The sequence below is a fragment of the Homo sapiens genome, chromosome 4 (genome assembly GCF_000001405.40).
Source record: "Homo sapiens chromosome 4, GRCh38.p14 Primary Assembly".
Classification (NCBI taxonomy): domain Eukaryota; kingdom Metazoa; phylum Chordata; class Mammalia; order Primates; family Hominidae; genus Homo; species Homo sapiens.
The window spans coordinates 174,941,191-174,965,545 of NC_000004.12; the positions used below are offsets into that span (position 1 = coordinate 174,941,191).

The 24,355-nt window shown below is 35.9% G+C and overlaps 1 protein-coding gene across 12 annotated transcripts in view; it reads left to right on the plus strand.

The window, feature by feature from the left end:
* Positions 1-24,355, plus strand: part of ADAM29 (ADAM metallopeptidase domain 29) — a 59,823-nt gene that overhangs the window by 22,833 nt on the left and 12,635 nt on the right. The window contains exon 5 of one of the 12 annotated variants that reach the window (NM_001278126.1): positions 6,978-7,031. The exons of the other annotated variants lie outside the window; for them this stretch is intronic. The gene's annotated coding sequence lies outside the window, so the exon portion shown is untranslated. The remainder of the gene's footprint in view (positions 1-6,977; positions 7,032-24,355) is intronic. 12 annotated transcript variants of the gene reach the window in all.

Here is a 24,355-nt window from a genome sequence, read left to right on the forward strand (position 1 = left end):
TATCTTGGTCTTGGGGTAAAGGTAGCAGTGTTTTTAAAAACGGACCTGCTTCTGGATTAAATGAATCATGGAAATCCTGATGCAATCACCTGATGTGTCTGATAAATGTCAGGTTATTGTGGTGATGTTGTCTAATACAGTGAAGCCTGTCTCCATGGGTTGGTTCCCTATATCAAATTTAAAAATGCTGTATTAATTTGTTTTTACACTGCTATAAAGAAGTATGTGAGACTGGCTAATTTATAAAGAAACAGGTTTAATTGACTCACAGCTTCACATAGCTGGGGAGGCCTCAAGAAACTTACAATGATGGTGGAAGGGGAAGCAAGGCATGTCTCACATGGCAGCAGGGAGCAGGGACAGTGCCACACTTTTAACCATCAGATCTCCTGAGAACTCACTCACTGTCATGGGAACAGCATGGGAGAAGTTCACCCCCATGATCAAATCACCACCAGGTCCCTCTCCTGACAAATGAGGATTGCAATTTGAGATGAGATTGGGGGGACACAGAGCCAAACCATATCACTCTACCCCTGGCCCCTCACAAATCTCATGTCCTTCTTACATTTTAAAACCAATTATACCTTCCCAATAGTCCCTCAAAGTCTTAACTCATTCCAGCGTAACTCAAAAGTCCAAGTTCAAATACTCACCTGTGATAAAAAAAAGTCCCTTTTGCATATGAGCCTGCAAAGTAAAAAAGTTAGTTACTTTCAAGATACAAAGGGGGTAGAGGAATTGGGTATATTTTTCCATTCCAAAAGGGAAAAATTGGCCAAAACAAAGAGGCTACAGGCCCCACGCAATTCCAAAACCCATAAGGGCAGTCATTAAATCTTAAACCTTTGAAATGATCTCCTTTGACTTCATGTCTCACATCAAGGGCATGCTGATGTGAGGGGTGGGATCCCATGGCCTTGGGAAGCTCCACCCTTGTGGCTCTGTAGGGTACAGTCCCCATGACGGCTTTCATGAGCTGGCATTGAGTGCTGCAGCTTTTCCAAGCGCATGGTGAAAGCTGTTGGGGGATCTACCATTCTGGGGTCTGGAGGATGGTGGCCCTCTTCTTACTGCTTCACTAGGCATTGCTCCAGTGGGAACTCTTTGTGGGGGCTCCAACCCCACATTTCCCCTCTGCATTGCCTTAATAGAGGTTCTCCATGCAGGCTTCACTCCTGCAGCAGACTTCTGCCTGGACATCGGGACATTTCCATACATCATTTGAAATCTACGTAGAGGCTCCCAAAGTTCAACTCTTGTCTTCTGCACACCCACAGGCCCAATACCATGTGGAATCTGCCAAGGCTTAGGGCTTGTCCCCTCTGAAGCAATGGTCAGAGCTGTATCTTGACCCCTTTTAGCCACAGCTGGAGCTGGAGTGGCTGGGATGCAGAGCACCATCTCCTGAGGCTTCACAGAGCAGTTGGGCCCTGAGTCTGGCCCACAAAACCATTTTTCCCTCCTAGGCTTCCAGGACTGTGATGGGAGGGGCTGCTGTGAGGATCTCTGAAATGCCCTGGAGACATTTTCCCCATTGCCTTGGCTATTAACATTCAGCTTCTCTTTGCTTATGCAAATTTCTGCAGTGAGTGGCTTGAATTTCTCCCCAGAAAATGGGTTTTTCTTTTCTACCAAATGGTCAGGCTGCAAATTTTCCAAACTTTTACACTCTGCTTCCCTTTTAAAAATAAGTTCCAATTTCAGACCATCTCTTTGTGAGTGCATGACTTTACACTTTCAGAAAAAGCCAGGTCACATCTTGAGTACTTTGCTGCTTAGAAATTTCTTCTGTCAGATACTTTAAATCATCTCTCTCAAGTTCAAAGTTCCACAGATCTCTAGGCCAGGAGAAAAATGTTGCCAGTCGCTTTGCTAAAGTATAGCAAGAGTGACCTTTGCTCCAGTTCCCAATCAATTCCTCACCTCCACCTGAAACCACCTCAGCTGAGACTTCATTGTCCATACCACTATTAGCATGTTGATCAAACGCATTCAGCAAGTATTTTGGAAGTTCCAAACTTTCCCACATCTTCCTGTCTTTTTCTAAGCCCTCCAAACTCTTCTAACCTCTCCCCATTAGTCAGTTCCAAAGTCACTTTCACATTTTCAAGTATCTTTATATCAGCACCTCACTTCCAGTAGCAATTCTCTGTATTGGTCCATTTTCACACTGCTATAAAGAACTACCTGAGACTGAGTAATTTATTTTTAAAAAGAAGCTTAATTGATTTATAGTTCCACATAGCTTTGGAGGCTTCAGGAAAATGACAACTATGGTGGAAGGCAAAGGGGAAGCAAGTAACATCTTATATAGCAGCAGGAAAGAGAGAGAGCAAGGGAGGATCATCGCTTTCCATCAACCATCAGGTCTCTGAGAATCCACTATCATGAGAACAGTATGGGGGAAATCCACCCCCATGATCCAACCACCTCCCACCAGGTCCCTCCCCTGACACATGGGGATTACAATTCAAGATGAGGTTTGGGTGGGGACACAAGAGTCAAACCATATTAAGGACCTTCTTTCGTCCTGAATTGGTTTGTTATTCTTTTGATATTTCTTCCAGAAGAGTCAACTTCTGATCTTTGACTTGTAGCATGAGCCTTACCACAAATGTACAGGAAAAAAAAAAAAGGAAGTCGTTCAGTGATTATAAAACCTAATAGTTTTATTATAATAATACACACTCATTTTATGAGAAATTATTCAATGGTTACATTAAAAGTAAGCATGTCAATTTATTGTCCATAATTGCCCCCATCTTTGTACAAGAACACGAAGGTGCTTTTACTTATACTGAAAGGTATACCACTGAAACACTGTTATATAGTAATGTTTTATTGTCTATAAATAATTATAAATACAATTATAAATTATATGTTGTTAAATATAAAATTATAATTAACAGTTATAAATAATGTGGAATCAAAAAGTAATAGCAAAACTTTGAAAGATTTTGAAATATAAAATACCACATAGAAATCATGAGATACAGCTAAAGTTGAACTTAGAATGAAATGTGTATAATGGCCTACATTAGAAAAAAAAGAAATCACCCATCTCAAGAAGTAAACACATTCATTTCAAGAAATAAAAACTAAGAACAAAAATCCGAGTAGGAAGAAAGGAAAGATAGTTTAAAAAAATTAAATTGTTTTTGTAAACTAATAAAATCAGCACTCTGCCATCTCACTCCCCAAGCTGTTGATGTCCTTTCATTTCTTTCCATGCATGGGTGGAATATTATATTTTTCTCTTTGTTTTATTTTCATTTCATATTCAAAACATGGTTAGGAAATGTCAGCATTCTAGTCTCCTTATTTGTATTTTTTTTTAATTAAACTTTTCTTTAGCTTCAGGGATCCACATGTAAGTTTGTTGCATAGGCAAACTGTGTGTTATGGGGGTTTGATGTACTGATTATTTTGTCACCCAGGTAGTACGCATAGTACCTTATAGGTAGTTTTTCAATCCTTATCCTTCTCCCACCTTCCACCCTCAAGTAAGCCCTCATGTCTGTTGTTCTATCCTTTGTGTCCATGTGTACTCGATGTTTAGCTCCCACTTATAAGTGACAACATGCAGTATTTGGTTTTCTGTTTCTGTGTTAGTTTGCTAAGGATAATAGCCTCCAGCTCTGCCTATGTGTTCTCAAAGGTCATAATCTCATTCTTTTTAATGGCTGCATAGTATTCCATGGTGTATATGTACCACATTTTCTTTATCTAGTCTGTCATTGATGGGTACTTGAGTTGATTCTTTGCTATTGTGAACAGTGCTGTGATGAATATACATGTACATGTGTTTTTATGGTGGAACAATTTATATTCCTATGAGTATATACCCAATAGGATTGCTGGATTAAGTGGTAGTTTTGCAAAACTGCTTTCCACAATGCCAGAATTAATTTACAATCCCATTAGACCTGTATAAGCATTCCCTTTTCTTCACAACCTTGCCAGCATCTGTTATTATTATTATTTTACTTTTTAATAATACCCATACTGAACATAGTATCTCATTGTGGTTTTGATTTGCATTTATCTAATTAGTATTGTTGAACTGTTTCATATGCTTGTTTATCCACATGTATGTTTTCTTTTGAAAGGGTGTCTGCTTATGTCATTTGAACACTTTTAAATGGGTTGTTTGTTTTTACTTGCTAATCTGCTTAATTTCCATATAGATTCTGGATATTAGACCTTTGTCAGATGCATAGTTTGCAAATATTTTCTCCCCTTCTGTAGGTTGTCTTAAAAATTTACTTTGTTGATAGTTTCTTGTGCTGTGCAGAAGTCTTTTGTTTACATAGGTCCCAATTGTCAATTTTTGTTGCAATTGCTTTTGGCATCTTCATCATGAAGTCTTTGTCCATTCTTATGTCTAGAATTGTGTTTTCTAGGTTATCTTCCAGGGTTTTTACAGTTTTAGGTTTTACATTTAAGTAATTAGTTTATCTCGAGTTGATTTTTGTATATGGTGTAAGGAAGGGGACCAGTTTCAATATTATGCATGTGACTAGCCAGAATTCCAGCACCATTTATTGAATAGGGAGTCATTTACCCATTGCTTGTTTTTGCCAGCTTTGTTGAAGATCAGATGGTTCTACATGTGTGGCTTTATTTCTGAGTGCTCTGTTCCATTTCTTTAATCTATGTGTCTGTTTTTGCACCAGTACCATGCCATTTTGGTTACTGTAGTCTTGTAGTATATTTGGAAGTCAGGTAATATGATGCCTCAGCTTTGTTCTTTTTGCTTAGAATTGCCTTGACTATTTGAGCCTTTTTTGATTCCATATGAATTTTTCAAAACTTTTTTTCTAATTATGTAAAGAATGTCATTGGTAGTTTGATTGGAATAGCACTGAATCTGAACATTGCTTTGGGTAGTATGACCATTTTAAGAATATCGATTCTTTCTCTCCATGAGCACAGAAAGTTTTTCCATCTGTTTGTGTCATTTTTGACTTCTTTCAGCAGTGTTATGTAATTCTCATGGACAAAATCTTTTACCTCCCTCATTAGCTGTATTACTAGGTATTTTATACTTTATACTTTTTTGGCTATTATGAATGGGATTATGTTCTTGATTTGGCTCTCAGCTAGGACATTGTTGTTGTATAGAAATGCTATAGATTTTTGTACTCTGTTTTGTATCCTGAAACTTTGCTTAAGTACTGTATTAGATCTAGGAGCTTTGGGGCAGAGACTATGAGGCTTTGTAGTTATAGAATTATATTGTCTGTAAAGTGAGATAATTTCACTTCCTTTTTCCTATTTAGATGCCCTTTATTTCTTTCACTTGCCTGATTGCTCTAGCTAGGACTTCCAGTACCTTGTTGAATGAAATTGGTGAGAGAGGGTATCCTTGTCTTTTTCTCATTTTCAAGGGGGATGCTTCCAGGTTTTTCCCATTCACTGTGATATTGGCTATGGGATTTTAAAGATGGCTTTTAGTATTTTATTGAGGATTTTTGCATCTATGTTCATCAAGGATATTGGCCTGAAGTTTTCTTTTTTTGTGGTATATCTTCCAGGTTTTGGTATCAGGAAGATGCTGGCCTCATAGAATGAGTTAGGGTGGAGTCTCTCCTCAAGTTTTTGGAATAGTTTCATTAGAAATGGTACCAGCTCTTCATTACACATCTGGTAGAATTTGTCTGTAATTCTTTCTGGTCCTGAGCTTTTTCTGGTTGGTAGGCTTTTTATTACTGATTCAATTTTGGAACTCATTATTGGTCTGTTCAGGGATTCCATTTCTTCCTGGTTCAGTCTTGTGACATTGAATGTTTTCAGCAGTTTATCCATTTCTTCTAGGTTTTCTAGCTTGTGTTCATAGAGATGTTTTTAATAGTCTCTGAGGGTTTTTTTGTATTTCTATGGGGCCAATGGTAATTTCCTTTTCATCATTTCTCATTGGGCTTATTTGGATCTCTCTCTCTCTCTCTTTTATTAGTCTATCTAGCAGTCTATTAATCATATTTATTTTTTCAAAAAGCCAACTCCTGCTGGATTTGTTGATCTTTTTATGGTTTCATGAATGTGTCAGTTTCACTCAGTTCAGCTCTGATTTTTATTATTTCTTGTCTTCTGCTAGCTTTGGGGTTGGTTTGCTATTATTTTCCTAGTTCCTCTAGATAACATGTTGGTTGTCAATTTGAGATCTAACTTTTAGGTGTGGGCATCTAGCACTAAAAACTTTTCCCTTAACACTGCTTTAGCTGTGTCCAGAGATTCTGGTATGTTGTATCATAGTTTTCATTAGTTTCAAGTAATTTCTTAAGTTCTGCCTTAATTTCATTGTTTACCCAAAAGCCATTCAGAAACAGGTTGTTTAAATCCCTCGTAATTGTATGGTTTTGAGCAATCTTCTTACTATTGATTTCTATTTTTATTGTGTTGTGATAGGAGAGTATAGTTGGTATGATTTAGTTGTTTAATTTTCTGAGAATTATTTTATGGCTGATTGTATGGTCAATATTAGAGTGTGTGCCATGTGCAGATAAGAATAATGTACACTGTGTTGTACTTGGGTAGAGAGTTCTCTAGATGTCTGTTAGGTCCATTTGGTCATGTGCCAAGATCATGTCCTGAATAACTTTGTTAGTTTTCTGCCTCTATGGTCTGTCTAATACTGTCAATTGGAGGTGAAGTTTCCCACTGTTATTGTGTAGTTGTCTAAGTCTCTTCATATTTTTGTCTGACAGAGCTAATTTGGAGAACTAGTCTTTGAACTCTGGGATTCTTTCCTCAGTTTATCTATCTTGCTATTAATACATATGACCATATTATGACATTCTTTAAGTGAGTGTTCCAGGTGTATCAGATCAGTTTAGTTATATCTTAAGATGGACATTTCATCTTTTACCTCCTGTATAGTTTGTTTGTATTCCTTAGATTCCTTGTCTTGGGCTTGCACTTTCCTAAATCTTGATGATCCATCTACCTTCTGAATTCTGTATCTGTCATTTCAGCCATTTCAGCTTGGTTAAGAACCATTGCTGGGAAACTACTGCAATCATCTGAAGGTAAGAAGACAATCTGGCTTTTTGAGTTGACAGAGTTCTCATGCTGGTTCTTTCTTATCTGTCTGGGCTGATGATCCTCCCATCTTTGAAGTTGCTGGCCTTTGGATGGGGTATTTTGCTTTTATCTTCTTTGTTGCTCTTGGGAGTCTGATTGTGGCAGAAGGTGGGTTCAGTCCACTGACTTCACTTCCGGAGGATTTTAGGAGTCCAAAGCTCAGCTCGGCACTCCTGGGATGAGTGCTCTAACTCTGATCAGCTGGTACTGAGCCCCCCAGCTTGTTTTTTGGCCCCTTGAGGTTATGAACCTGGTGCACTGGAAGGGCTGAGGTTTTCCTGGTACACTAGCCACAACACTCCAATTTCCAGGGGCTGCCAACCAAAGTGCTTTGTTGGGACAGAGGCAGTGGGATCTGTGCTTGCTCACATGTGCCAGCAGCTGCAGCAGCATGGTGGGGTGCATGCATGTTGGCTGGGCAAGGGCATCTAGAGGGGGTAGGGTTGTCAGCCTCTCTGCTAGCACTTGTGCTGATAGTGGCAGTGGTGATGGGGGCACTGGCAGAGCTGAGGTTGTTGGCACCTGTGCACAAGTTTGTACCAGCAGTGGTGATGGCACTGTGGGGGTGAGTTTCCTGGCATCTGTGTATGAGTTCACATCGGCGGTGGCAAAGCAGCATCACAAGGAAGGGGTGGCTGGGTGAGCTTGTGCTGGCAAAGTGGTAAGGGGGCCGTGAGTGAGTGCATGCTGGAAAAGCTGCACGGGGAGTCTTCAGCGAGGGGAAACTGGGTGGGCTGGTGTGCATTGGTAAGGATTAGTCTGCTGGAGCTTTCCAACAGTCAGGCATGGTCTTCTGGCAAAGGAGCTATAACGTGAGCCCCCAGGAACTGCCCTGGTTGGGTAACCGAGGCTGCACTGCAAGTGGATGTGGTCAGGCTGGGGCCCCAGGAGATGCCAGTAGATGGAGGGGCACTCAGTCATGCCCTCATCCCATGGGCGTGACTGCTCTGCTCTGTCCAGGTCCTACAGTCACCCTGAGGCTAAAGTCTCCTAGAGTTCCTAGAGGAGCATGGCAAGCTTTGAGGGATGAGCATCACTGGCCATGCTCCGCTGAAGCCATTCCCATGCCAAATCTTCTGAACTACACAGGCTAGAGCCCTGCCGTGTCATTTCTCTAAGCAGATCTTTCTGCCAGCTCAAGTGTCTGTGGGGGTCAGGAGGTCTTCTTCTGCTAGGATTCCAGAGGTCCATGATAAGTGTAGGTCACTCCTCACCTGTGTGAATTACCCCTTCGCCAGGAGTCACTGGGGGCCAGGAATGAGTCCTGGTGCTTATCTACCCTGTGCAGGGTTCTCAGCTTTCTCCCCATTCAGCCCAGCATTTGTGTCTTCCCTGTGTCCACTCTCAATTCCTTCCCTCTGAAGATCTACTTGTAGGATGCCAGTCTGCCCCGTATCACAGTCTCTTGGTGGGAGATGTTCCTCCTGGCTGCAGCTAGTCAGCCATCCTGAATCCCGTCCTATTTCTGTTTCTGAACCACCATTATTCTTGCACCTCCTGTAAAAATGCATCCATCCGCATTTAAAATAATTGAATTAAAGCTATTAATCCTTTCCCCCTCACTTTCCTGTCCTTTTCCCTCAATTTCTCATCTTTATTATAGTCCTTTATATCACTCCCCATATTTGTTAAAATCCTTGTCTATGGATTATTAACATTTCCTACATATAAACCCCAAATTTTTCTTGAGAGTTTAAAAAAACACAGAATAACTGTGGATGACTTAACCAATAACCTATCTTGGATCTATTCAACTTCAAAATTTAAAAACTTCAGTATCTCATTCTGTGACCATAGCCTTTAATAAGTAACAAATAAGCAAACAAATAAAATAAGTAAAAGTATTGATTTTACCAGGATTCTCTTTTCAAACCTCTTCTTTTCTTTACATATCCCTCCATTGATTTCCCCACTCCATGCCCATGATTTAAATATCATTTATATGTTCATGTCTCTCAATCCCATTCTTTATAGGTAAGCACCAGAATAGAATGTTTCACAACTTAGTGGAAGTCTCCAGTATGATAAACCCATAGGACTTCCAACTAAAGCATTCAACACTAATCTTTTCATCTCCCTGGCAAGGTTCCCTTCAGACCTGGAATCCTATATATTGTTAGTGGCATAACTAACAACCTGGTCTCCCAGTATAAGCCTAGGAACTTTTGAATTCTCTGACTTCTCTACTGGACATAAGTAAATTCATTTTTACCCTATATTGACTATCCTTTCTCTTTTCCATTCTCCTAACTATTGCTATATGTAACTTCTAATGTGAATTTCTGAAAAAACTTCCACACACATTGCTTACAAGTAATGATTTAAAGTGTATAACTTAAAAGACTATAAACATAGATTTCATAAGCTATAAAAAGTCCTTCTAGAATTATAAATCATACACACATGCATGTGTATATATACATACTTGATGTGGTTTATCTCTGTTCCCACCCAAATCTGATGCTGAATTGCAATCTTCAGTGTTGAAGGAAGGGCCTGGTGGGAAGTGAGTAATTACATCATGGGGGCAGACGTCCCCCTTCTGTTCATGTGATAGAGTTCTCACGAGATCTGATTGTTGGAAAGTGTGTGGCACTTTCCCCTTCTCTCTTTCTCTCTTTGTCTCTCTCTCCTGCTCCCCCATGGTAAAACATGCTTGCTTCCCCTTTGCCTTCCACCATGATTGTAAGTAAGTTTCCTGAGGCCTCCCAGCCATGCTTCCTCTATAGCCTGAAGAACTGTGAGTTGATTAAACTACTTTTCTTCATAATTTACACAGTCTCAGGTAGTTCTTTATAGTAGTGTGAAAATGGAGTAATACAATACTCCACACACAAACATATGTACCTGTGGTGGTAAATGCTTTATAGATTTCTTTAGAGTTTTGAAAAATACCTGATACCCAAAATGTTTCTATCCACTGGCCAATGTCTCCACTCAAGTCATTTTGTATGAACACGTGGGCTGACCTGACTCCCATCTATTTCATAGACAGTATCTCCTACCATTCCTTGCTTCAAAACATATGCCAGTTCTAAATAGCGTTGATTATTATTCTTTAAAGGTACTTATTATTACTTCACACTTCTTTCCATTTGAGCATTTTGTTATCTCTCCCTTAGAAATAAACTTCTCTGATTATTTAACTAGGAAATTCCTATGTATCTTTCAAAACAAAGAATAAATATGTTCTTTCTTAGGAAGCCTTTTGTATAATGGTTTATTTGTTTGAAATGATGTTTCACAACTTGAGGTGAGTTGTACATTATTCCTATTTAGGTATGAAATTGTATTTGCAGTTATGTTTCAAATCTATCTTCAATAGTATGTGTTAATGTCATTTACTTTATATATCAAGAATGCAGGATAATGCCTGGCACACAGTAAGCTTTGAATGAGCAGAGAAAATGGATGATTAGCTGAGGGGTTCTGAAACAGACAGTATCATATTGTTGAGTGGCCCTGCGCTCTCAACCATCAGCAGTGGTTTCAGTGGTGTTCATGCCTTTTGAGTAGCCTTTTCCCTGCTTATAGAATCCCAGAAGTCTGACAGTCTTTCTTCATTTCATCCCATATTTGCCCCCTTTATTTCAAGGGGATTGGGGAGATGTTGGTTAAAGGATGCAAAATTTCAGATAGATAAGAGCAATTAGTTCAAGAAATCTATTGTGCATCACGGTGACTATAATTAATAACAATATATTGTATACTTGAAAATTCCCAAGAGAGTAGATTTTAAGTGTTTTTACCACACAAATATGATAAGTATGTGAGGTAATGCATATGCTAATTAGCTTGATTTAGCCATTCCATGATATATACATGTATCAAAACATCATATTGTATAACAAAAATATATGCATTTTAATGTATTAATTAAAAAGAAAACAACCTTATTGACTTTTTTTTTGGAATGTCAAGGGAATCAACATTTGACATGAGGGCTCTCCGCGGATTCTTCCTGGATAACTTTATCTCTATTCCTAGCTGCTGCGATGATGGCTGTTATGATCCACAAGTCACACATGTCTCTCCCCTCATGAAGGTCAAAATTTAGTATTACAGTGCAATAACCACACACACACACACACACACACACACACACCTTAATTACAGCAGTTTAAAATGGGTGACTGAGATCTTCCCAAAAGTAAAGGGAATATCAGTGCATACTAACACATGAGAATATGTTTGAAACAGCACTGTTAGTCAGGACCAGAAGATTTCAGATATCCAGTTAATATATTTTTTAAAGAACACCTTTAGAATTATATTACAACCAGATCTTCCACAGGAATAGTCTAAATGGGCGATGGAAACTAACTTCACTCAGAGATTCAGAAAATTTGAGAGAGAAAAAAAGTGGGAGATGAGATGAAAATGATGAGAATATGTAAACTGAGTATCCGTACATGTGTTTCTGGTATTCTGTCGTTCACCTCTAGTGTGAATGGGAAATAAAAGCTTCAGATTAGAACTAAGGAGCAGTGTGCAAAGACTGTCTGCAGATGGAGTCAGGACAACTACCCTGGGCATAGTACCCGGGGGCAAAATATTAATATAATCTTAATATAATCTGAGTGACAAGCCAAACATTTTCTGGTTCTGTTAAACATATGATTCAAAAACTTCACTTGAATGCTATTTTAGAGAGGGAAAACTAGTTTCAGTGCTAAATTTGTAACAGTAATTGAAAATAACTGAACAATTTTATCATTAAGAATGCTAGGCTGGGCGCGATGGCTCACGCCTGTAATCCTAGCACTTTGGGAGGCCAAGGCAGGTGGATCACAAGGTCAGGAGATCGAGACCATCCTGGCTAACACGATGAAACCCCGTCTCTATTAAAAATACAAAAAATTAGCCGGGCGTGGTGGCCGGTGCCTGTAGTCCCAGCTACTTGGGAGGCTGAGGCAGGAGAATGGCATGAACCCAGGAGGCGGAGCTTGCAGTGAGCTGAGATTGAGCCACTGCACTCTAGCCTGGGCAACAGAGCAAGACTCTGTCTAAAAACAAAAAAAAAGAATGCTAATTATGTTAATTGATATCTTAGTGAATAGATGTTTACTCTTACTTATTTTTCAATAAATTATTCTTTACTAAAGTATACTATTTTCTTTAATACTCACTGGGTTCATTGAACAAAAGGGCCTGGAATAAAATAAGCAAAAATAGCAGATATTTGTTCAATTTTCACATCCTACAGATTTCAAAAGATTTTCTAACAACACACAGCATGAAACTCACATAATATGAAGACACAAAACTGGCCCAGATATACAGCATTCAAAGGAGAATACTTTAGACCTATCCCCTACTACATTATTGTTTTGGAAGATTACTTAGAATATATTTTAAAACCCACAATACAAACATTTATTTTAATAAAGTTTATCTGCAGGAAAAATTGGTACATTATGACCCATGCTTTTTTTTATTATTATTTTTTTCTGAGATGGGGTCTTGCTCTGTTGCCCAGGCTGGAGTGCCATGATGCCATCTCGGCTGACTGCAACCTCCACTCCCAAGTTCAAGCTATTCTCCTCCCTCAGCCTCCTGAGTAGCTGGGACTATAGGCATGCACCACCATGCCCAGCTAATTTTATTGTATTTTTAGTAGAGATGGGGTTTCACCACGGTTTTCAGGCCAGACTTGAACTTCTGACCTCCAATGATCCTCCTGCCTCGGCCTCCCAAAGTGTTGGGATTACAGGTGTGAGCCGCCATGCCTGGCCCCCATCTTTATTATATCATGTCATTTCAGCTGTCATTTCCATTCTGCCATTATATAACTTTCCCTCATTTTCAAAATCCACCTTAAAATAAAAATCCTCACAATGGATTTCAAAATATGCCCCCAATTTACCCTTAAATGCATTATTTGAAATACCTCTGTATTGATCTTAAGATGATCATTGCTTCTTCATTTCATATTAGATCTTGCCATTCCCTAAATTCTTATAATCAGTCCCTTTGCCTCTCATTTCCTGTATTGTCTCAAATCCCATATCTTTGTCATTTATATTTTGAAGATGCCAAATAATTTTTATCTTCAAACCAGACACATGTTTGAATCCAATAATTTTATGTTTAACACTGTGGTCTCTCTCCACTGAAGTTTTCCAGGTATACTTTATTCTCGTTAAGGCTAAAATTCGTTCTTATTTTTTTCTCAATATTTCTCCAATCTTTCAATAGTCTATTCCAGCAAATGACCACCGAATCTGTTTAATTATCCATAAGCCAGAAACATGGGCTTATACATATTTACAATTCCTTTTGCCTTCATATTGAAACGGTTATTGAAATTGTAAGGATTCATGTTCCCTTTATTTTATCAAGCTTGTTCTGCCTTTCATTTAACACCTGAGTCACTGCATTAGCCTTTTTTACACACATCTCTGTTCCAGGCTTAGTATCCCCAATCTCAGGCAGTCAGAAGGGTAAGTAATTAAGATTGGATCTGTAGTGGCTGTAAAAACTGAGATGATCATCCATCTCAGGTAGGTTACATATTTATATTTATGAATGAATGAATGGGCTTGGATTAAATGTAATCATTTTGCTCCTATGTCTGTTTATTTTTAAATGCTCTATTTCTAGTATATTCTGAAATTTTCCTCTTATTTGAAAACTTTTAAAGTAAAAATAAGTCATTTTTATAATCACTTAATATATGACAGTAGAGATGCATTTTCTATTTCATTCATGTATGTTTTAGATTTATATCATAAAGATTTTAAATGAAAAAATAAACAGCAGCAAATAAAACTAATAAAATGTATGTTAGTAATAGTATTAAATGCATTTTTTTTCAAAATGTAATATCAGAGATATCTTAAATAACAGAGCTAGGTTGTCTTGCTTATCTGGCAAGCAACTGCTGTTATAAACATGAATCCAAGAACAAGGTATGAAATCGTATGACATATTTTTGAGCTGAATGTATCAAATATCTGGCTCATTGAATCATGAATTGTCTGATCAGGAAAGGAGAAGAAAACAACCCCTACTCCTGACCTAGAATAATTCATATCCTGTGGTATTAGGAAGATTTAAAAAAGAAGAAGAAGACATGAATTAACAAAAACAAAAACCACTAGACTCTTTTAATATTTGAATATAAGAGGGTACTCTGACACACAGTTATTATATAGCTGGAAAGAGGATTTTGAGAGATCAATATTGTAGCTTTCATCAGCTTATTATTGCTATCAACAAACAATTGTTCTGCTTTATCGAGATGTTTAAGCATTCTTAAATTATTAGGGGCAATAAAGACAAGCAAACATAAAGCTAAACAGAAAAATAAATACTCAAAATTTCAGCTGTATAAGATCTCAAAATTTGTTATGCATTGTAAACTGTCCTATTTGTAATTACACTTAAGATCCCAGATCAATTTTATTCTGCATGTACTTTTTGAAAAAAGATCAAATATGTATATTAAGTACAAAGTTGCAAAAGCTAAAGGTTAAACTTAGTTCATTATAAGCCTTTACTAACCCTTTATTTTCTACCTTTCCATATACAATTTCCTTGGAAATTACCAAAAGGAGGAAGCTTTGACTTCAGGAATTGTTTATTCTACCATAATCTTTATTGGTTTCCTTGCTTCAATTTTCAAATCTGCAATTGAAATTAGATATGATTGCCTAGCTGAACTTCAGTAAGATGCATTTTGATTATGATACCCTCTACTTAGAAACATTATGTTCTTTCCTATTGTGCTCAGGACAGACTATATGTTTTAGACGAGGTCTTAAGACACATAATAATCTAGCCTCATGCTATATGGCCAGTTATCTCTAAAATAGCTTTACCATTCTCTTCATTATCCCTTTGGTACTTGAAGTCATATCTCTTACTGAGACGCTTTCTTCCATCTCCTCCTCATCGATATTTGGTATCTCATTCCTTAAAATGTGTTCCGTCTGTCAACTTAAGCACATACCTTTCCCATTCCATGAAATTCTTTGCAGCTACAGTGATTGTTCCTTCCTCAACATCTATACAAATTCCATTCAATAATCAATTTAATTTCTTTAATGTATATATACTTGTGTTTCAGTTTAATTTTTTAGTAAATATTCATTCAAAATTTCTAGAGATAATTTTATTCATTGCAGCTGTGGCATATAAGCCCTAACTATGAAAAATGTCCATATCTATATCTTCAAATTCCTGTTTTAAAAAAAGGTGTGTGTGTGTGTGTGTCTGTGTGTGTGTGTTTGTGAGAGAGAGAGAAAAAAAAGAGAGAGAATAATGAATAAGAGCTATAGAATCACTCCCTTTATACCATGGCTTTGTGCTCAGTATAGTCAGTGCTTTGCATATAATCATTGTGGTGGTAATATTAGTAGTTTGGCAACAGAAAACACTTGTTTTTTCTGGCCATTGTACTAAGCATGCTTCATGTGTTAACTCTGAATTCTCCTACCGTCTCTGTAAACACAGATGGAAACCCTGCTGCATACAGGTCCTAGGTAATTAGCCTAGGATATCAGGCTGTAGATTACATACTTATCACACTATGCACTCTCCATAAATAGATGATTTTATTAATTACTTAGTTAAGCTTCTATAAGCAAATTTTCCAGGAAATAAACCATATGATTCCTAAAAGTCATGTTCCATACATGTAACATGATGCTTTGTAAATCAGCATAGTCAAATATGAAAGACTGATCCACTTTTCAGTGTTGGCTGAAGTTATTTTTACCTTTCTTTGCGTGCATCCAAACATGCAAATAATACTTAAGCCATTTTCTTTTATAAATCAATAACAATGAAACACACAGGCAACAATTGCTTCATATATGACAGCTAAATTAGCACCTGATTAATTGCATTTATGCGATAGGAAAACCATGGACCCTCTCAACATCTGGACAAACAGTTCAATGAAAGAACTTTCCTCAGTTCAGTTCTGTGTATTCTTTTGTGTTATGAATACCTTCAAAATATAGGTTAATCAACATTTATTGAGTACTCACTCTGTAATGAGCTTAATGCTAAGGATTATATTATTGCAAATGATATTGTTTTATTTCACTGCCTCCTGTTACTCTTATCTGGGTACCTTAGATTTTATCTCTTCACCCACTGACCTGTACCCAGTTGGATAAAATATCCCCCAAATTTTAATGGCCAAATTGATTCCTCCTTCTGCTTTAAGATATGGTGTTCCTCTGCCCTAAAACTTACCATTTCAGGGACAAACTGTTTATAACTTAGTTGTTGCACCAGTTTCTGTGTATCTAGGAGTAAGAAATAAAGAAATCCTAGTAAGTTCCTACTCTGGGTCTGCTCTCTGCTTTATCTAAACTAAAACTCAGAGAAAAGAAAATACCTACACTGAAGATTCAAGCAGCCAATTAATATTTTTAATAGATAGAGGGCTGTTTGGGTACCCACAACACTTATTTTCTTACACTCCTTATGAGTTATTTTTGGAATTTTTCAGTCTGTGTATTATAATTAATATGAATCTATCTTTCTAAAAATATAATTAGATCAGAATGAATTTAAATTGACCTGAATTTAAATTGACAAGGTTTAAAATGTGCGATATTTGTTTCTGTATAATATTTTGAAAAGGCATTTGGTGATGATGCCTGGATCTGATTTTATGAGCTTTTGATCTTACAAGATTCACTGCTCATGGATCACAGCTTTGCCAGTATTCTGAGTATTTGGAGATTTTCTAGTCATCTTTCTGTTATAGTTTAATTGTATTGTAGTCTGAGAAAATATTTTGTATGATTTAGATTCTTTTAAATTTGTTAAGCTAGATCCAGGATGTGATCTACCTTAGTAAATATTCTATATAAGCTTAAATATGTGTTTTGCTGTTTTTAAATAGAGTGTTCTATAAACGTCAATTTGATAAAATGGATCAATACTGCTCTTCATTTCAACCATATCCTTGTTGATTTTTTGCCTGCTCCATGTCAATTACTGATGGGGGGGTGGGGAATTATCCAACTATAATAGCAAATTTGTGTCTTTCTCTTTTCAGTTCTATCAGGTTTTCCCTCAAATATTTTGATACTGTGTTGTTAGGTACATACCAGTTAAGGTTGTGTTCTTCTTGGAGAATTGACCTTTTTTATCATTATGTAGTTACCCTTCTTATCCCTGACAATTTCCCCTTTCCTGATGTCTTCTTGTCTGAAATATACTTTGGCTTTCTCTTGATTAGTGATAGTATACTATCTTCCTCCATCCTTTTAATTTGTCATAATCTTCACATTTAAAATGAATTTCTTGCAGACAGCATATAGCTGGGGCTTGTAATTTATCTAGGCTAATAATTATTGCTATTTTACCGATGTCATTAGACATATTTAAAGTGATTACTCATATATTTATGTTAAAATGCAATATATTTGTAACTTTTCTTTCATTACGTTTGTTCTTTGTTACTAGTCTCTACCTCTTGTTCTACTTTTTTTGTTTTAATTATTTTATATTATTCCATTTTATTTGGCACAGTAGTTACACTTCATTTTTACATATCTGTAGGTGAACTAGGTTTTATAATATGCATTGTTAAATAAAGTTAGTTCAGCTTCAAATAACACTATATTTTATTTGTAGCATAGGTACCTTGTAACACAGTGTTCCACATTCTCCCTTCTGTCGCTTCTGATGTTGCTGTCATCATTATTTTACTTACTTATATTCTTGAATTACCTAAATGTATTATTAGTATTGCTTTAGATAACTAACTGTTAGATCAGTTAAATACAAGACAAATAAAATATTTCACTTTATTCCTTTTCTGATGCCCTTTTAAAAATGTAGATTCAAGATTCTGACTTATATCATTTTTCTTCTTCCGGAAAAACTTTTTTTAACATTTCCTGTATGACAGTTCTGCTGTCAATGTCATTAGTTTTGGTTTGAGAATATTACTTCTCCTTTATTTTTGAAGAATGATTTTTGTGGATGTAGAATTCTAGGTTGGCAGGGATTTTTTTTCTCCCTCAATACATTAGAGATTTGATAATCTTCTTGTTTTCATTATTTTAGGGGCGAAGTCAGCTATAATTCTAAACTTAATTCTTCTGTAAGTAAGGTGCCCCTTACCAGCTTCCTTCAAGACCTTTTTTTTTGTTTGTTTTACTGCAATTGAAATAAAATATTCCTACTGTGGTTTGTGTGTATGAGAAAGACTGTGTGTGTGTGTGTGTGTGTGTGTGTTTGTGTGTTTGTGTGTGTCTGAATGAAATATTTACCCTGCTTGGTGTTTTCTGAGTTTCTTGGTTTGTGGATTAGTGGCTGTTATTAATTTTGTAAAGTTCATGGCCATTTTAGTTCTCATTTACTTTTTTTCTCTAGTGTTTTCTTATAAATTTTTAATATTTCTCCACAGTTCCTGAATATTTTGTTTTTAAAATCTTTTTTCTTCTCTTTGTACTTCAATTGGTAAATTTCTATCTTCAAGATTGCCGCTAGCTTCGTTTATTATTTTCTTAATAGTGTTGAGTCTACTGATAAGTTCATTAAACACATTCATTTCTGTTACTTTAAGAAAGTTTTCTGCATTTTATTTTTTACTTTTTCTTAATGTAGCCATGTCAATGTGTCCTGAAGTAGTTGGTGTAAGATTCAGTTTATACATTTCTTATGAGATTTTATAGAATTCAGTGTGAAAACTACCTGGGGCTGCGTTTTCTTTGTAACAATGATTTTTACAATGAATCCAATAAAAGACTACTCACATTTTCTGTTTATTCTTTTGTGAGTTTGATGATGTGTTTTTAAAAATAAACTTATCATTTCACCTAAGTATTCATAAAGGTGTTATGAAGTTGTTTATAATATTTTCTTATTAACATTCAAGTGTCTATGTGATTTATAGTGATAATCTTTCTATCCTTGATATTGATAATTTTTTGCTCACTTAGTGTTTTCTCGAATAATATACCTAGGCTACTATCAATTTTCCTGGTGTTGGAAATAATAAACTTTGGTCTGTTAATTTTTTTCATCACTTTTTAGTATGAAATATTTACTAATTTTCTTTGTGATTCTTCCTATCATTATGGATTATTTAGAAGTTGTTTAATCTCCAAATTTTAAGTATCATATCTTATTATTACTTATGACAAATTTAATTATTATCAAAGTATATTCACTGTATAATTTCAGTTTTTTAAAAAGTATTTAGATTTGTTTGATTTTTTATGTGGACTTTGTGTATGTATCATCTGCAGGGAGTTTTCTGTATTTTTTAGGTATATTGTTCTACAATTCTCAATTAAATCATTCTGGATGAGAAGGGACCTAAGAATATTTACATCTTTAGTAGTTTTTTCTCTAATTGCTCTATCAAATGCTTTGTGAGACATGCTAAAATTTCCACGCTTGCTGTTTTGGACGCCTCTTTGATTCTATCACTATCTTTCTCGTGCATTTTGAAGCTCTGTTATTAAGTGTAAACATATTTGTTAAACAAGGTTTACAGGAGGGCATTGTTTTGCACTAACTTCCTGAACTAGGTCTCATCAAACCAGGCCAAACCAAAATGGTGTAACTTATACTATGTGCAAGGAAGTAGGTAGATCCCCAAATAGACCAGTTTTCCCTGAAGACAGGAGATTCATAGCAACCAATCAAAAAGAGCCCAGTCTACCTGAGTCAGTGTGATAAGAACTGTCTCCTTTGCTTCAACCTTACAAGAAAAGTGACCTGTAGTAACTTTACGTTAACTGATCTGCTTTCTAAAATTGTTCTGCCTTCTTGCTCCTCCCTTACAAAAACCAACCATTCTGGCATGGCCTGTGGAATATTCATTCTATTTTATAAAATGAGGTGTTTCCTGATTCCAGAATTAAAAATAAAAAATAATTATATCTTTATGTTAAATTTGTTGTAATATTGTCTTTTGACACATTTATGATGGTTATTTTTTATAAACTTCTCATTATATTGCTAGAAAATATCCCTTTTTACATACAGTAATACATTTTACTCTGAAGCTCATCTTATTTGATATTATGATATATTTATCTATAATAGATATTATTCATTATATAGTTGATATATTATTGATAATATTAAATATGAGAGTTCTCTTATATTTCACCTTTAGACAGTGAAACTTTATGCTGCAGGTTTAGTTAATGACTCATTATAAGGAAGTAAGAAGTAAGTCTAAAATTATAATGACCCACATAGTTACAATGACTATCTTGTGATTCTAATGCTTTTAGTAATCATTTCGTGCTCATTAGTACAAATGAGAAAGATTCCATACCAAGCTAAAAATTTAAAAACTAAGTTTTAGTTTAAAAGAAATATTTAAAAATCATTTCTCGTTATTACTACATTAGATACATTCCAAATTTAAAACAAACATACCTAAGAAAAAAAGATCTAAACCATTTCATAATAAGAAATAAAACAAGAATTAGAAAAACATTTTTTATCACTGGCTTTCAGATAAGTTATATGCTAACAGCAATTCTTTCTTGTTTTAATTATCATGATGAATTTGGGATTACTGTATTACCATACAGCCTATCCAGTCAGAGCACACACTTTGCTTAAACCTTACCAACTCCATAAAGATTTCACTGGCTTCTTCATCTTTCCTTCAGACACTTTCTGTCTTTAAGAATTATGGTGACCTTCTCCAATTAAGAATTATATAGTGTTCTGTATTTTTTCTTTCTATTAATTATTATATTTTAAGTGGTGCCATTTTTATAGAAACATTCATAGCAAGTAGTATGTATGTTGTAATAGAAAGACAAGGAAAGAAAATAAAAATAATAATTTGATATGTAAACTTTTAAAGTAAATACTGATTAACTTCATATGTAAAATTTGCATAAACTTTTAAAGTAAATACTGATTATTAACTTCATATGTAAAGTTTGCATCTGAAATTATCAATTCATGTTTTCTATAGCTATCATGTTAAAAAGATTTACAGTTAGAGGCCTGGTGCAGTGGCTCATGCCTGTAATCCCAGTACTTTGGGAGGCCGGGGCGGGCAGATCATGAGGTCAGGAAATCAAGACCATCCTGGCTAACACGGTGAAACCCCGTCTCTACTAAAAATACAAAAAAATTAGCTGGGCGTGGTGGGGGGCGCCTGTAGTCCCAGCTACTCGGGAGGCTGAGGCAGGAGAATGGCGTGAACCCGGGAAGCAGAGCTTGCAGTGAGCCGAGATCGCGCCACTGCACTCCAGCCTGGGCGACAGAGCGAGACTCCGTCACAAAAAAAAAAAAAAAAAGATTTACAGAGTAGGAGTACTTTCAAGACATTGTGCATCAGAGTGACTGTAACTGATGACAATATATTGTATTCTTGGAAAATGCTAGAGTGGATTTTAAGTGTTTTCACCACAAAAATGATAACTGTGTTAGGTTATACATTTGTTAAATAGCTAGATTTAACCATCCCACAACGTATATGTACTTCAAAACATCATGCTGTACACAGTAAATACATACAGTTTTATATGTCAATGAAAAAAATAAATTTGAAAGAAAAAAAAACTTTGAATTACTTGATTCAACATTTGTTTGTATTAATTAATCATGATTTCCTAGTATAGTGAAGAGCAATTTAGTGTTGATAATTGAGTCAAGCACGAATTATCAATAAAATAACATGAAAAATTATTAGAATGCTCTACCAATGCAAAAATGAAGCTGTTACCACCCAAATCCACTGAAAAACTTTAGCATCTCAGAAAATAAGACAATTAGTGTTTTGTGCTTCCTGATGAAATTCAGTATGAAGTACATGGGACAATCTATGAGGTAGTCTCATTAAAATACTTGGCCTGAATCTAATCAAAATTCTAAGATTAACTTCCATGTACATGGGAAAACACATAATAAGGAAAAAAAATATAAATGCAACTAAAAAATAGACAGACACATTAGGATATGGTACATTCAAATGGATGGCTAACAGGGTGAGGGGGACAAATCTGGACTGTAAGAAAGTTAAGAGACACATCAAATATAAATGCAATAGGTGGTCTTTATGGATCCTGATTCACATAAACACACGGTGTAATTTTTATGATATCAGACAAATTTGATTATTGATTATGTGTAAATTTATATAAAGGAAACACTTGATAATTTTTCTTGAAAAATACTGGCTTTACCATTAAGTAAGACTGTGTCCTCTGTTCAGAGATTCAGTGGTAAAATGACATGTGGAATTTGCTTTAAAGGCCTTAGCAAAAAAAAGAATGAAGGGATGCATATAAACCACATATAGCAAAATCCTGATAAGTTGGGAAATAAAGAGATTCACTGTACTTTCCTCACTACTTTAAATATATATTTTAAGTTTTATTAAAATTTTGTATAGTATAATATTTTCACTGACAGAAACAGAATGAAAAACTTGAAGGACAAATAGTAAAGGTTTTTTTATTTTTTTTCTGAGATGGAATCTTGCTCTGTCACCCAGGCTGGAGTGCAGTGGCACGATCTCGGCTCACTGCAACCTCTGCCTCCTGGGTTCAAGCGATTCTCCTGCCTCAGCCTTCGAGTAGCTGGGATTACAGGTGCCCACCACTGTGCCCAGCTAAGTTTTGCATTTTTAGTAGAGACGGGGTTTCCAGGCTGGTCTCGAACTCCTGACCTCGTGATCTGCCTGCCTCAACCTCCCAAAGTGCTGGGATTACAGGCATGAGCCACTGTGCCTGGCCTAGCAAATGTTAATTTAAACATAGTTTGATCTTATTTATACTTCCTCTTAAGCTATCTTTTGTGACTCAATTAATGGGTCATTTGTTGATTAAATACAGTATTATCTAGGATAATAAAATTTTTTTTCTATAAATTATGTATGGTTTGAAGGCCCAACCCCCAGTACTTGAGAATGTGACTGCATTTGGAGATAGCTTCTATAAAGAGGTGATTAAGATTAACTGAAGTAATTAGGGTGGGCTCGAATCCAATTTGACCAGTGTCCTTATAAGAAGAGAAAATTAGTACACACAAGAGGCATCAAAGATTGTATGTACAGAAAAAAAAACCATGTAAGGCCCCAGTCAGAAGACAGCCATCTACAAGCCAAGTGGGAAGGTTTCAAGAGAAACCAAACCTGCCAACACTTTGATCTCAGACTTCTAGATACCATAACAGAAAATAAATTGTTTAGGCCACTCAGTCTGTGATACTATACTTTTGTTTTGGCAGCCCTACTAAACTAATACAGCATTGCAGAGAATGCAGAAGTGTAAAGATAAGAAACCCCAAAATAATTAAGAAAATATGAAACATGAAGGAAATTAGTACAGATTCTTAGGAGACCATAATCTATCTATTTTACTAAAAATATTTTACTATGTAACTAATATTTTTTGGACTAGATCTTACATTCTCAAGGACAAATTTTAAATGCATTAATACAGTATTGCACCTTGTTAAAACTGAGTTAATGGAATGCAGTGGCCGGATAAATTAAGAAATTTAATTAAAAATTAAATATAAACTTGAGTAAAACTCTTAACATAGAAAGTTGAATTTAACCACAAGATTATGGGTACCTTATTTTTTAAAAGATGATTTATGAAATCTTTCTTGTGTTTGCAAAATTCTTTATGTATATGTTCATAAGTGTTTGGCCAGGTGAGTAGGCAAAAAAAATAAAAAATAAAAAACACAGAAAATCAATGAACAGGAGATGGTGGTTTATGGAAGTCAAAGAGAACTGGATTCTAGAGCCAGCTCCAGCAATTATTAGTTACTGACTCACACTACCAAAATCTTTAGTTATCATTTCACAGAGAAAAAGAGGACTATTTATATATTAGTCTTTTTAGTGTTGCTATAACAGAATACTTGAGGCTGGATAATTTATAAAGAAAAGAGGTTTATTTGGCTTATGATTTTAGGTCTTGTGAGGGACTCCCTCATGCTGCTTCCTCCGTGGCAGAAAGCAGAAGGGTGCAAAAAGATCAGAGGGTAAGGGAGGAAGCAAGAGAGAGAGAAACCAAGGAAGCCAGACCCTTTTTGAACAACCAGCTCTCATGAGAAATAACCCATTCTCTTAACAGTGAGAACTCACTCCCCCAAATAAATGCATTAATGTATTCATAAGAGGTCTACCCCCATGATCTGAACATCACATACCAGGCCTCACTTCCAATACTACTACATCAGGGATCAAATTTTAACATGAGTTTTCATGGGGAGAAACCACATCAAGCTCTATCTATCATCTATCTATCTATCTATCTATCTATCTATCTATCTATCATCTATCATCTATTTACTTACC